The sequence below is a fragment of the Homo sapiens genome, chromosome 9 (genome assembly GCF_000001405.40).
Source record: "Homo sapiens chromosome 9, GRCh38.p14 Primary Assembly".
Lineage (NCBI taxonomy): Eukaryota > Metazoa > Chordata > Mammalia > Primates > Hominidae > Homo > Homo sapiens.
This window is the reverse complement of record NC_000009.12, coordinates 85,249,722-85,264,848: the sequence shown is the minus strand read 5'-3', so window position 1 is coordinate 85,264,848 and position 15,127 is coordinate 85,249,722. Positions and strand designations below refer to the sequence as shown.

At 40.9% G+C, this 15,127-nt stretch overlaps 4 annotated features.

The window, feature by feature from the left end:
- Window positions 6,035-6,835: an enhancer, noted in NCBI's record as "H3K27ac-H3K4me1 hESC enhancer chr9:87872929-87873729 (GRCh37/hg19 assembly coordinates)". NCBI's record gives its function as "activates a minimal SCP1, AML or CMV promoter by ChIP-STARR-seq in primed H9 embryonic stem cells {active_cell/tissue: H9 hESC(primed)}" and the evidence as "EXISTENCE:reporter gene assay evidence [ECO:0000049][PMID:30033119]".
- Window positions 6,035-7,637: a biological region, named in NCBI's record as "CDK7 strongly-dependent group 2 enhancer GRCh37_chr9:87872518-87873717".
- Window positions 6,047-7,246: an enhancer, noted in NCBI's record as "CDK7 strongly-dependent group 2 enhancer chr9:87872518-87873717 (GRCh37/hg19 assembly coordinates)". NCBI's record gives its function as "activates an origin of replication core promoter dependent on BRD2, BRD4, P300/CBP, MED14 and CDK7 cofactors, with strong dependence on CDK7, by STARR-seq in HCT116 cells {active_cell/tissue: HCT116}" and the evidence as "EXISTENCE:reporter gene assay evidence [ECO:0000049][PMID:35650434]".
- Window positions 6,836-7,637: an enhancer, noted in NCBI's record as "H3K27ac-H3K4me1 hESC enhancer chr9:87872127-87872928 (GRCh37/hg19 assembly coordinates)". NCBI's record gives its function as "activates a minimal SCP1, AML or CMV promoter by ChIP-STARR-seq in naive and primed H9 embryonic stem cells {active_cell/tissue: H9 hESC(naive and primed)}" and the evidence as "EXISTENCE:reporter gene assay evidence [ECO:0000049][PMID:30033119]".

Here is a 15,127-nt window from a genome sequence, read left to right as displayed (position 1 = left end):
AGCTGACTGACTAACTATTTGAGTGACTGACTGGCTGGCTGACTGACTGACTGACTGACTGACTATCTGACTGGCTGACTATCTGTATGACTGACTGACTATCTGACTGGCTGGCTGACTGACTGACTGAGTGACTGACTGACTGACTTTCTGACTATCTGACTGACAAACTGACTGACTGATGGACCGGCTGACTGACTGGCTAACTGGGTGACTGACTGACTGACCAGTGACTATCTGGCTGGCTGACTGACTGACTGACTATCTTATTGACTGTCTGACTGACTGACTGGCTGACCAAATGTCTCACTGGCTGACTGACTGTCTGTCTGATGGACTGGCTGATGGGCCTGGGTCACCCTGGAAGAAATATATTAAAGTGGGAGTTGTGGCATCTGTTGCAGGTTGGACTCTTCCTTTCAGCACCCAAGTTATCAATTTATCAGAAGCTCTTTTTTTTTTCAGTAAGAAGCCAACCGTCCCCATGAAAAATAAACAACACCAAAGGAAAAGCAGCTTATAAATTATTGCTAACAGATTTATGGTATTTACAGAGGGCTGATTAAACAAAAACTAAAAGAAAACAAAAGATTAAAAAAACCTCAAAACTTTCCCAAGCAAATCTCTGAGTTTAGGCAGCTTCTGTTGCACCCTCTCAGCTGCAAACAGGACCTACCTGAGGTGAACCTGTGATATAAACTAACTTTTTTTCTACAAATTTTCCCTCTGGTAGTGACCCTTTCTCTCCTTTCAGGTGTCTGGGACCTTGCCCTCTTCACCTCTTTCTTCTATCAAAACAGAGAGAGAGATCTGATAACCAACCATTGACATTTGTTGACTGATGTTGACTGATTATATTTTGACTGGAACTCAAATTCATCAGCACCCTGTCTGAAACAGCCTTGTGAAGTTTAAGCCTTTTAGCTATAATTATGGGATGAAAGGTGTTCCATTCTAGTTAAAAGAATTTCAGGCATCAGCAGATGGGAAGGTAGAGGTGAAGGTCCACTCAGCCACCTCTGAATGTGATCCTGACTTTTTTCGGGGGGGGTATTTTTTCCTACAATAAATCCCTAGCTCCATTGTGGAGAATAATGCAGGGGCTGGCAGAGATAAAGCCAGACCAAGGATTGTTTAGATAAGAACAGGCAGTGACTTCTAGAACCTTCTAGATCTTGCTCCCACCTTCCCTGCTTGATCATAGTCAAATCTTGTTCCTCACTACTTCAATGAAATCCCTGACTTGAACTCTTTCGTTTCAAGTTTTCATGACATGTACTTTACCCATTCTGAGGGTATTCTGGTAGTTTAGTGATTACTTAATACTTTTTTCCTATCTTAAGCTCCTGTTTCTGTCATACTGAAAGCACATTTGGCCATTATCTCTACCTCAGGTGAAGTAAAAAACAGAAAATATGTCATGAATACGTAGCTCATTAATTAGAATTTAAAGGCATAGTTACCAAGAAAGCTTGGGAATTAAGAATCTGGGTTTTCAGTGTCCCTTTGGGATATATATGTTTGAAAGAAGTGTTTCCTTTGAGTCCTAATATCCAAAGTAAGTGTTATCCCTGTCTCACCTATGAGGAAATTCATACTTGGCTGTCTAGTCATTTGCCTAAGAACACCTAGCTGGTTAAGTTGTGGAGTGAAGATTTGAGCTCAGTTATGCCTCGCTTCCAAGTCATGCTCTTCCCACTATGGCATAAGAGTAAAAAATGGTTTTATTCCCCAGGGCTTCTGTATCTTTAGCTATACCAAGAAAGAGATAGTCATCATTTCTAACACTGGGCTGAAATATGCAGGACTTATTTAAAGGTAGCCAATGAGTATCACTATTTTTAATATCTGATTGCTGTCTTCCAAATTTTTTGGTCCAAAATTTTCTGAGAGAAGTTTCATTAATTTCCTGATTATAATGGTCCTGATTCTTGCCAGAAGCTGGCAAAAATAAATGCAAAGCGGACAGAGTAGGCTGTATTACTTTTCAAGCAATAATTATTAATGTAAAAACAAATGAGAGAGAGGTATTTTATGAGACAAAAAGCATGAACGCTTGTTTCTGTCTCGGTGGACATATGTCTTAGTGAGTAGGTTAAAAGTTTACCCAAATACATTTTGGTTATCTGTACAATTTCAAACCTGAAATCGATAAGTCTTATCAGAACATTTTTATGACTTCAGGGAGGTTATCACCATCTTAATATAGTGATGAAGACAAAAGCCAGACCTCAGGAGAGGTCAGAACTGAGTAATCAAATTAACATCTGTTAGGACTGACTCAGTCCAGTCTTCAAGGTCAACATATTCACAAATGTCAAAATGTCTGAATGAAGAGATGGTAATCATTGACCCTGAAACCTTCTGGGGCTTGGCAGGAAGCTGTGGGGGAGATAAATAGCTTTTTGTTGAGATAGCAAATGCATGTTTGGATACATACTTCCTTATTTCTCTCTTTTGAAATAAGAGGAAATGCCAAAGCCAAGTCTCCATTAACCACGGTCCTACTGGATGGTGATAAACAGATCCTTGAGGTCCTGCTTTCCCACAACCATCTTCTCTGGAATTATAATTCAGAGCTCTTGACAGATATTATTTACCTGTTCTTTCTTTTACTTATTAACCCTGAAGAGAAATGGGAAAGAGGTGGGCATTCCGAAAAAGAAAAGGGGAGAGAGGCATGGCTACTCAATAGAGGGATACAGGTCCAATTTTGCACTGAAAAGCTTTATATTTCATACAGTTTTGCTATACCATCGTTAACCTGTTAATCTCTCTTTTTTTTTTTTTTTTTGAGACGAAGTTTTGCCCTGTCACCCAGGCTGGAGTGCAGTGGTGCGATCTCGGCTCACTGCAAGCTCTGCCTCCCGGGTTCATGCCATTCTCCTACCTCAGCCTCCCTAGTAGCTGGGACTACAGGCGCCCGCCACCACACCCAGCTCATTTTGGTTTTGTATTTTTAATAGAGACGGGGTTTCACCGTGTTAACCAGGATGGTCTTGATCTCCTGACCTTGTGATCTGCCTGCCTCGGCCTCCCATTAACCTGTTAATCTCTTAACAAAGTCTATAAACTGAAAGCTTTTTGCACTGTAGATTAGAAATTGAATTTCTACTTGTAATAGAAATCTGGACTTGGATTTTTATTTTTTTAAACCCAAAACCTTAGTAGAACTGACAAGGGTACTCTTTACAGTCTACAATTTAGGGGCCTAAATGAAAATTGAGGTGGTGTAAATTCCTGAGGACGTAAACTTTATCTGTTTTTCCAGAATGTATTGCTAATGCCCAGAGAAGTGGAGAAGTAGGTCATCTCTGTCACCAGCTTAAAGTCTCCAGGTACATTTTCTCTCAAAAAGTGAAGCAAACCAGTTCACTGTAATGTGATGAACATAGTGATGGTAAGTTTACTGTGATAAGGGAGATAAACTGCGCTGGAGGTTTGAGTTCTCGTGTTAAATCTTTTAAAGAAGCTCTGATTTTTTTGGGAGTGAGAGTTAGGGCCTATGAAACCCCCTTTTTTTTTAATGGAAGAATCAACAAGTACCTTACTCATTTGTCAAATGTTGGTGCCAATCATGGCTGACTGGCAACTTGTTTTTGTGCCCATTGAGATTGACTTGACTTTTAACTGGGATATATGGGCAAAGATCATGTGGTGATGGCCACTTCTCTATACTGGCCACAAAACAATGACAATTATGGAATATAGTTAAACGGACATTATAGCTCAGCTACATGGCTGGTAGGAGAAAAGAGTTTTGCTGCTGCCTACAGATTAAAATAACCCATAGAAAATCACACAAAATAATTGTAATCAGCAGATAGTAATTGGCTATGTCCATGAGACTTGGCCGTAGTCTAGCTGGTTTACCTGGGTATGTAGCATGCAGTAGTGAAAAAAGCAGTAGGACTGGGATGAGAAACCTGAATTGAAGTGCGAACTCTGGCACTTATTAACTGGGTTTACCTTGAGGAACTTACTTGACCTGTCTGGTTCCTGGTTATTTACCTCCTTAACAACATTGTCAGGGGTCCTGCAGGATTTTTCTGAAGGAAAATGTTGCCCTTCAAAATAAGACCCTTAAAGAAAAGATGCGTCTCTCAGATTTCATCCTATAAATTATCCATAAGGTAGATTTCCTACTATGCTTTTCAATCCTAAATTGGCTTCTGCTGCTATTGGGACATTTCCAAGCAAACTCCCCCTGCCAAACAGCCAGTATGTTTATGGGAATAAATAGCTGAATTCTCATGCTCTCACTCTTCAAGGAGAAAAAGCACACCTTCCAAGCCATATGCGGAGAAAATCTCCAGTGGCCTCTCTTATCTTATCCTGATGTTAAACATTCCTGGTCCTACATAAATCCATTAAAGGTCTCCTCCTGCCAACATATATCATCACAGCCTGCAGCAATATTGAGGATAATAATAACAAGTGGTAAGTGTGACATGGCCTTTGACATTCCAGCAACCTCAGATTCTTGATTTTATATGGAGTTGCTGGATTCCCTTAGCCCCATTTTTAAAGATTGTATGCAAGGCATGAGCTGCTGGATTAATGAGATGGATGTCTGTTTCACAATGAGGTTAGGAAGTAACCTAAATTTTGATAAAAGTGAGCAATGTTGTTAGCAAACGTGCTTATAAGAAAAGTCTCAGACAGGCATAGTGGCTCACACCTGTTAACCCCAGCACTTTAAGAAGCTGAGGTGGGTGGATCACTTGAGCTCTGGAGTTCGAGGCTAGCCTGGGCAACATGGTGAAACCCTATCTTTAAAAAATATATATATATATATGTAAAAATTAGCCAGGCACGGTGGTGTATGCCTGTGGTCCTAGCTAGTCTGGTGGCTGAGGTGGGAGGATTGCATTGAGCCCAGGAAATCTAGGCTGCAGTGAGCCATGATTGTATCACTGCACACCAGCTGGGAGTGACAGAGAAAAACCCTGTCTCAAAAAAAAAAAAAAAAAAGAAAGGAAAGAAAGAAAGAAAGAAAGAAAGAAAGAAAGAAAGAAAAAACTTTGTAAACTTTCACTTACAGAAAAATATGACGATTCTTGGTGTAGATGTCTTTTGTTTAGAAATCTGTGATTATTTTCTTAAATTGTCAAATTAAAAAGAAATGGCATAAGAATCGTATTAAACTCAGGAAATGGTAGTATTTGGTTATATTTTCCTTTCTACTTTTCCCATCATGCATTTCCATATCAGTAGGCATTAAAAGACAGTGACCACATTTTTGCAGATTTCCTCTTAGAACAGCGGCTGCACCGTGTGAACTAGCAGAGTAAAGAAGGGACTAATGCGTTGAACTTCAGCCGTATGCCAAGTTCTGTGGTGTCAGACTTGATTTCCTCATCTGTAAAATGTATCAGGATAATAATAATGCATGCATTTTTCAGTCATTGGGAGCGTTGATGAGAAAAATATAGATGAGTCTAGTAAGGCAAGATTGTCTTTGAGGCAGGTTCTCACTTCTTGAAACATCTCGGTATTCTGAGTAGATCAATGTCCCTGAAGTCCTGGGGTCAAAGTTTTCTATTAAGGAAGAACTACGTAATCATGCTTAGTAACTGGTAGATGACTCATAACTTCTGAAAGTGAATTGTCCTAAGATGTATGTTTGGTTGAGATGGAAGTTTAAGAATCGATCCTTAAAGATGATGGTTCCAGAAGTGAGACACCGGCAGGGGCAGATTCTTTTGGGGCATGGGTGGCAATGGAGAGGGTGGGCAGAGTCAGCTTCTTCCGACAGCACACCACGATCTTCCCCATCCCTGGAGGATGGCAGTGGCTGAGAGGTGTTGTGCGTTTCCAGCTTCGTCATAGAGCCAGCTGGGGTACGCACGTTCCCTTGAAGATGCTTCATGGCTTGTCCATGAGAGGGCACTGGTGCTCTAGCTTGCCCTTGCCAGAGTCTGTCTGAAGATAGATCAGGAGTGCTTGGCCACTTGTACCACAGCTGTGGCTATGTGCATTGGAAATTATATAGAGGGAAACTCAGGGGCTCTGTCCTTTTGCCCAGCTTAGTATATCTGTGGTCTTCAGACTCTGGCTGCCAACTGATAAACCTACTGCCCATATGTGGAAGAGCAAGTGCCAGGTGTAATGGGTATTTATACAATTAGTGCAACAAGTCTGTAATTCAGTATTATACTTGAAAGAGGCACCAGGACCCCACTGCCCCACCCCCCGCTCCTGCAGAAGCCCTCCAAAGGAAGGAAAAGGGACTCTCGGCGGCTGGCAAGATGGCAGAATAACAGCTCTGGTCTGCAGTTCCCAGCAAGATCATCACAGAACGTGAGTGATTTCTGCATTTTCAACTGAGGTACCCAGCTCATCTCATTGGGACTGCTTAGACAGTGGGTGCAGCCCACACATGGCAAACAGAAGCAGGGTGGGGCATTGCCTCGCCCAGGAAGTGCAAAGGGTCAGGGAACTCCCTCCAATACTCAAGGGAAGCCATAGCGGACTGTGGCATGAGGAACGGTGCATTCTGGCACAGATACTATGCTTTTCCCAAGGTCTTCGCAAACCACAGGCCAGCAGATTCCTCAGGTGCCTACACCACCAGGGCCCTGGGTTTCAAGCACAAAACTGGGTGGCTATTTGGGCAGACTCTGAGCTAGCTGCAGGAGTTTTCTTTTTCATACCCCAGTGGTGCCTGGAAAACCAGTGAGACAGAACCATTCACTCCCATGGAATGGGGGCTGAAGCCAGGGAGCCAAGTGGTCTAGCTCGGTGGATTCCAACCCCATGGAGTCCAGAAAGCTAAGATCCACTGGCTTGAAATTCTTGCTGCCAACACAGCAGTCTGAAGTTGACCTGAGGCACTGGAGCTTGGTGGGGGGAGGGGCATTCACCATTACTGAGGCTTGAGTAGGCCGATTTCCCCTCACAGTGTGAACAAAGCTGCCAGGAAGTTCGAACTGGGCAGAGCCCAGTGCAGCTCGGCAAAGCCACTGTAGCCAGACTGCCTCTCTAGATTCCTCCTCTCTAGGCAGAGCATCTCTGAAAGAAAGGCAGCAGCCCCAATTAGGGGCTTATGGATAAAACTCCTGTCTCCCTGGGACAGAGCACCTGGGGGAAGGGGCAGCTGTGGGTGCAGCTTCAGCAGACTTAAACATTCCTGTGTGTCAGTTCTGAAGACAGCAGTGGATCTCCCAGCACAGCACTCAAGCTCTGCTAAGGGACAGGCTGCCTCTTCAAGTGGGTCCCTGACCCCTGTGCCTCCTGACTGGGAGACATCTCCCAACAGGGGTCGACAGATACCTCGTACAGGAGAGCTCTAGCTGACATCTGGCGGGTCCCCCTCTGGACGAAGCTTCCAGAGGGGTGAACGGGCAGCAATCTTTGCTATTCTGCAGCCTCTGCTGTTGATATTCAGGCAAACAGGGTCTGGAGTGGACCTCCAGCAAACTCCAGCAGACCTGCAGCAGAAGGACCTGACTGTTAGGAGGAAAACTAACAAACAGAAAGGAATAGCGTCAACATCAACAAAAAGGACGTCCACACAAAAATCCCACCCAAAGGTCACCAACACCAAAGACCGAAGGTAGATAAACCACGAAGATGAGGAAAAACCAGCACAACAAGGCTGAAAATTCCAAAAACCAGAACGTCTCTTCTCCAAAGGATCACAACTTCTCGCCAGCAAGGGAACAAAACTGGACAGATAATGAGTTTGACGAATTGACAGAAGTAGGCTTCAGAAGGTGGGTAATAACAAACTCCTCTGAGCTAAAGGAGCATGTTCTAACCCAATGCAAGATAGCTAAGAACCTTGAAAAAAGGTTAGAGGAATTGCTAACTAGAATAATCAGTTTAGACAAGAACACAAATGACCTGATGGAGCTGAAAAACACAGCAAGAGAACTTACTGAAGCATACCCAAGTATCAATAGCCAAATTGGTCAAGCAGAAGAAAGGATATCAGAGATTAAAGATCAACTTAATGAAATAAAGTGTGAAGACAAGATTGGAGAAAAAAGAATGAAAAGGAATGAACAAAGCCTTCAAGAAATATGGGACTATGTGAAAAGACCAAACCGTTGTTTGATTGGTGTACCTGAAAGTGATGGGGAGAATGGAACCAAGTTGGAAAACACTCTTCAGGATATTATCCAGGAGAACTTCCCCAACCTAGCAAGGCAGGTCAACATTCCAATTCAAGAAATACAGAGAACACCACAGATACTTCTTGAGAAGAGCAACCCCAAGACACATATTCATCAGATTCACCAAGGTTAAAATGAAGGAAAAAATGTTAAGGGCAGCCAGAGAGACAGGTTGGGTTACCCACAAAGGGAAGCCCATCAGACTAACAGTGGATCTCTCGGCAGAAACCCTACAAGCCAGAAGAGAGTGGGGGCCAATATTCAACATTCTTAAAGAAAAGAATTTTCAACTCAGAATTTCATATCCAGCCAAATGAACCTTCACAAGGGAAGGAGAAATAAAATCTTTTATGGACAAACAAATGCTGAGAGGTTTTGTCACCACCAGGCCTGCTTTACAAGAGCTCCTGAAAGAAGCACTAAATATGGAAAGGAAAAAGCGGTATTAGCCACTGCAAAAACATAACAAATTGTAAAGACCATCGACACTATGAAGAAACTGCATCAACTAATGGGCAAAATTATCAGCTAGCATCGTAATGACAGGATCAAATTCATACATAACAATATTAACCTTAAATGTAAATGAGCTAAATGCCCCAATTAAAAGACACAGACTGGCAAATTGGATAAAGAGTCAAGTTCCATCGCTGTGCTATATTCAGGAGACCAATTTCATGTGCAAAGACACACATAGGCCCAAAATAAAGAGATGGAGGAATATTTACCAAGCAAATGGAAAGCAAAAAAAGGCAGAGGTTGCAATCCTAGTCTCTGATAAAACAGATTTTAAACCAACAAAGATCAATAAAGACAAAGAAGGGCATTACATAATGGTAAAGGGATCAATGCAACAAGAAGAGCTAACTATCCTAAATATATATGCACTCAATACAGGAGCACCCAGATTCATAAAGCAAGTTCTTAGAGACCTACAAAGAGACTTAGACTCTCACAAAATAATAGTGGGAGATTTTAACACCCCACTGTCCATATTAGACAGATCAACAAGACAGAAAATTAACAAGGATACTCAGGACTTGAACTCAGCTCTGGACCAAGTGGACCTAATAGACATCTACAGAACTCTCCACCGCAAATCAACAGAATATACATTCTTCTCAGCACCACATCACACTTATTCTAAAATTGACCACATACTTGGAAGTAAAGCACTCCTCAGCAAATGCAGAATAAGGGAAATCATAATAAACAGTCTCTCAGACCATAGTGCAAACAAATTAGAACTCAGGATTAAGAAACTCACTCAAAATCACTCAACTACATGGAAACTGAACAACCTGCTCCTGAGTGACTACTGGGTAAACAAGAAAATTAAGGCAGAAATAAATAAATTCTTTGGAACCAATGAGAACAAATACACAAAGTAACAGAATCTTTGTGACACAGCTAAAGCAGTGTTTAGAGGGAAATTTATAGCACTAAATGCCCACAGGAGAAAGCAGGAAAGATCTAAAATCGACACCCTAATATCACAATTAAAAGAACTAGAGAAACAAGAGCAAACAAATTCAAAAGCTAGCAGAAGAAAAGAAATAACTAAGATCAGAGCAGAACTGAAGGAGATAGAGACATGAAAAACCCTTCAAAAAATCAGTGAATCCAGGAGCTGGTTTTTTTGAAAAGATTAACAAAATATATAGACTGCTAGCCAGACTAATAATGAAGAAAAGAGAGATGAATCAAATAGACACAATAAAAAATGATAAAGGGGATGTCACCACTGATCCCAGAGAAATACAAACTACCATTGGAGAATACTATAAACACTTCTATGCAAATAAACTAGACAATCAAAAAGAAATGGATAAATTCCTGGATACATACACCCTCCCAAGACTAAACCAGAAAGAAGTTGAATCCCTGCATAGACCAATTACAAGTTTTGAAATTGAGGCAGTAATTAATAGCCTACCAACCAAGCAAAGCCCAGGACCAGATGGATTCACAACTGAATTCTACCAGAGGTACAAAGAGGGGCTGATGCCACTCCTTCTGAAACTATTCCAAGCAATAGAAAAAGAGGGACTCATTCCTAACTCAATATATGAGGCCAGCATCATCCTTACACTAAAACCTGGCAGAGACACAACAAAAAAAGAAAATTTTAGGCCAGTATGCCTGATGAACATCAATGTGAAAATCCTCAATAAAATACTGGCAAACTGAATCCAGCAGCACATCAAAAGCTTATCCACCACGATCAAGTCGGCTTCATCCCTGGGATGCAAGGCTGGTTCAACATACACAAATCAATAAACATAATCCATCACATAAACAGAACCAATGACAAAAACCACATGGTTCTCTCAATAGATGCAGAAAAGGCCTTCGATCAAATTCAACAGCCCTTCATGCTAAAAACTCTCAATAAACTAGATAATGATGGAATGTATCTCAAAATAATAAGAGCTATTTATGACAAACCCACAGCCAATATCATACTGAATGGGCAAAAGCTGGAAGCATTCCCTTTGAAAACCAGCACAAGACAAGGATGCCCTGTCTCACCACTTCTATTCAACATAGTATTGGAAGTTCTGGCCAGGGCAATCAGTCAAGACTAAGAAATAAAGGCTATACAAATAGGAAGGGAGGAATTCAAATTGTCTCTGTTTGCAGATGACATGATTGTATATTTGGAAAACTCCATTGTCTCAGCTGAAAATCTCCTTAAGCTGATAAGCAACTTCAGCAAAGTCTCAGGATACAAAACCAATGTGCAAAAATCACAAGCATTCCTATATACCAATAATAGAGAGCCAAATCATGGGTGAACTCCCATTCACAATTGCTACAAATAGAATAAAATACCTAGGAATCCAACTTACAAGGGATGTGAAGGACCTCTTCAAGGAGATCTACAAACCACTGCTCAAGGAAATAGATGACACAAACAAATGGGAAAACATTCCGCGTTCATGGATAGGAAGAATCAATATCGTGAAAATGGCCATATTGCCCAAAGTAATTTATAGATTCAGTACTATCCCCATCAAGCTGCCAATGACTTTCCTCACAGAATTAGAAAAAACTACTTTAAATTTCATATGAAAACAAAAACGAGTCCATATAGCCAAGACAATCCTAAGCAAAAAGAACAAAGCTGGATTCATCACGCTACCTGACTTCAAACTATACTATAAGGCTACAGTAACCAAAACAGCATTGTACTGGTGTCAAAACAGATATATAGACCAATGGAACAGAACAGAGGCCTCAGAAATAATGCCACACATCTACAACCATCTGATCTTTGGCAAACCTGATAAAAACAAGCAATGGGGAAAGGATTCCCTATTTAATAAATGGTGTTAGGAAAACTGGCTAGCCATATGCAGAAAACTGAAACTGGATCTTTTCCTTATACCTTATACAAAAATTAAGATGGATTAAAGACTTAAATGTAAGACCTAAAACCATAAAAACCCTAGAAGAAAACCTAGGCAATACCATTCAGGACATAGGCATGGGCAAAGACTTCATGACTAAAACACCAAAAGCAATGGCAGCAAAAGCCAAAATTGACAAGTGGGACCTAATTAAACTAAAGAGCTTCTGCACAGCAAAAGAAACCACCATTAGAGTGAACAGGCAACCTACAGAATGGGAGAAAATATTTGCAATCCATTCATCTGACAAAGGGCTAATATCCAGAATCTACAAGGAACTTAAACAAATTTACAAGAAAACAAAAACAACCCCATCAAAAAGTGGGCAAAGGATATGAACAGACACTTTTCAAAAGAAGACATTTACGTGGCCATTAAACCTATGAAAAAATGCTTATCATCACTGGTCATTAGAGAAATGCAAATCAAAACCACAATGAGATACCATCTCATGCCAGTTAGAATGGCAATTATTAAAAAGTCAGGAAACAACAGGTGCTGGAGAGGATGCGGAGAAATAGAAACACTTTTACACTGTTGGTGGGAGTGTAAATTAGTTCAACCATTGTGGAAGACAAGTATGGCGATTCTCCAAGCATCCAGAACCAGAAATACCATTTGACCCAGCAATCCCATTGGATTATACCCAAAAGATTATAAATCACTCTACTATAAAGACACATGCACATGTATGTTTATTGCAGCACTGTTCACAATAGCAAAGACTTGGAACCAACCCAAATGCCCATCAATGATAGACTGGATAAAGAAAATGTGGCATACATACACCGTGGAATACTATGCAGCCATAAAAAAAGGATGAGTTCACGTCCTTTGCAGGGACATAGATGAAGTTGGAAACCATTATGCTCAGCAAACTAACACAAGAACAGGAAACCAAACACTGCATGTTCTCACTCATAAGTGGGAGTTGAACAATGAGAGCGCATGGACACAGGGAGGGGAACATCACACACTGGGGCCTGTCATGGTTTGAGGGACTAGGGGAGGGATAGCATTAGGAGAAATACCTAATGTAGGTGAGAGGTTGATGGGTTCAACAAACCACCATGGCATATGTATACCTATGTCACAACCTGCACATTCTGCACATGTATTCCAGAACTTAAAGTATAATAAAAAAACGAACAGCAACAACAACAACAACAAAAAAAAAACAGAAAAGGGATTCTCTCTGTGGAAGGAAGGTGTAGAAAGAAAAACAAAAAGGACAGCAGACAATTTCCAGTTAAATGGAAATTGTACCTTTCACCGTAAGTCAAGAAAGGTCTTTTGACATGGAGTCAAAGAAAAGACAGCCAAGGCCTCCACATATATAGATTTTCAAGCGGGAGTCAACAGCATAATACCATAGTTCAAAATGGATTACCTAGTGAAACTCCCCACACTTCTCAGTCACCCTCCTTCATATCATTCTGTTTTATTTTTCTCCTAATATTTACCACTATCTGAAGTGATCATAATCATTTAGTTGCTTATTTATTGCCTATTATTTTTGTTGCAATATAAACTCTGTGAGGGCTGGGACCTTGGCTACCTTTTTCACCACTATAGCCTCTGCTCCTGGAAACACTGCCTGATACAGCAGTCACCAACAAACATTGAATGGTGGAGAATAATGCCTGAAAGAGTCAACATTTTACAAAGAGAGCCAAAGTGACATTTTACAAAGATGGCCAAAGCGAGGATGTTCAGTGAAGGGCTGTGGCTTCAGACAAACTGAAAAACAACTCATAATGCAGTAGGCTCCAGTGGGTTTTGAATATGGTCAAAGTGAATGGTTTGCTTTTCTGATTAAGGAGACCCTGTGGTCATCTCAGTGGCCATCTACCATCTACACACCCACACAAACACACATTATATATGTATATATACACATATATGTATATATAGTTATATATATTTATATATAAAAATATAATCTTATAATTATAAATAAATATATATTTATTTATTAACTCCTTAATTTATATTGTAGAAAGAGTGCTTTCTGCATATTGAATTGTCCTGGAATTTGGAGTAAATGCATTATTCTATGGGGCAAAATTTAATGAAACACATTATCTGGTGAAATTCGTGGGAATTTGGGTTTACAACTGTCCCATCTGTGAAAAGAAGTGATTATAGGGCCAGAATTTTATAGGAAATCCCTATGTGTCTTTATTTTGGGGTTCACATATACATATAAAGAAAATATTATACATATAAAGAAAATATACATATAAAGAAAATATTAATATACATATATACATATAAATAAAATATAAAGTGACTTCAAAATATAAATAAGATCATTTGTTTATGTCAATCCCAATTTGGATTGTGAGTTTTGAATAACATGGTAAAGAGGTAGGAGTGGCCAGCATTAGGTAGGATGTTGAGAATTCAGAATCGGTGCCTGACTTGGGGAGCACCAGACTCACTGTAGCCACAAAGTGGGTTGGCCATGGGCATTATAAATTTATGCCTGCTTTCTAGTTTCAGTACTAAATGGAATAGAACAATCCAGAAGACAGATGAAGCAACACATTTTTGAATAACTACCATGTACTTTGTATCAGACTAAGGCTATGGGAGAGCACTTAACAGGGTTCTCTCTTTGAGGAGGTTAAAATATGCTGAGAAAATATGGCACACATATATCAGTGAGATGCTTCAATTCCAACAAAAGAAAACTCAGCTAGAATTGGCTTAGGCAAAACATAGGAATTGACTGTCTCTTAACTTCTGTTAAAGTTTCAAGCTAACTTCAGGCCTGACAATAAGCCACCAGATCTCAATATTTCTCTGTCTCTCAGTTGGGCACTGTCATCCTCCCTGCATTGCCTTCATTCTCAGGCTCTTTGGGGACAATTCCTCCAGGGCTCAAGCCTAGTGGGATAAACCAACAGCTCGTCCTATCTCTCAGACCAAAGCCCTACAATGAACCCTGAGAGGGCTGATTAGCAGGGCTTGCCCAAATGAGAACTGGAGGCTGATACCTGAAGCCCTGTGAGTAGAGGGGGGTGACCAGGAGATGACAAAAGACCACACATGCACAAGGACAATAAATAGGGTGAAGCAGAAAAGGTAAATGCAAATATCTCAGGTCCAAAGTCATTTGAGGGTTTCGGGAGAGAGAGGTTGATGTGATTGGAGTCACGAAGATAGGATAAAGAAAAGCTTGGTAAGGACCTTGCAGGACAATTTTTTGGCATCTTCTGTGACTCGACATTTTCTGGAGAGCTTAGTATATATGAAGGAATGAAAGAGCTTCAGGGACAGCACGCCAGTGTCACAGCCAGTATCCAACACATGGTTTGTCCCCTTCAAAGTGATACAAACAGAAGACAGGGAAATACTGGGTAGAAGAGGGTGGTTCCCTGGCAAAGGCCCCCCCCTCAAGCCTGGATACCCATGGCCCTAAATGAGAACAGGCATTCCTGTTTTCAGGCCCAAATCATTGCCTTTTGGCCCACCATGCCCCCTATCCTGTACCTATATCAACCCCAAACCCCAGGCTCCAGAGGAGACCAGCAGACAAGGAGATGAGACAAGCAGACAAACAGTCGAACAACACAGCAGAGACAGAGA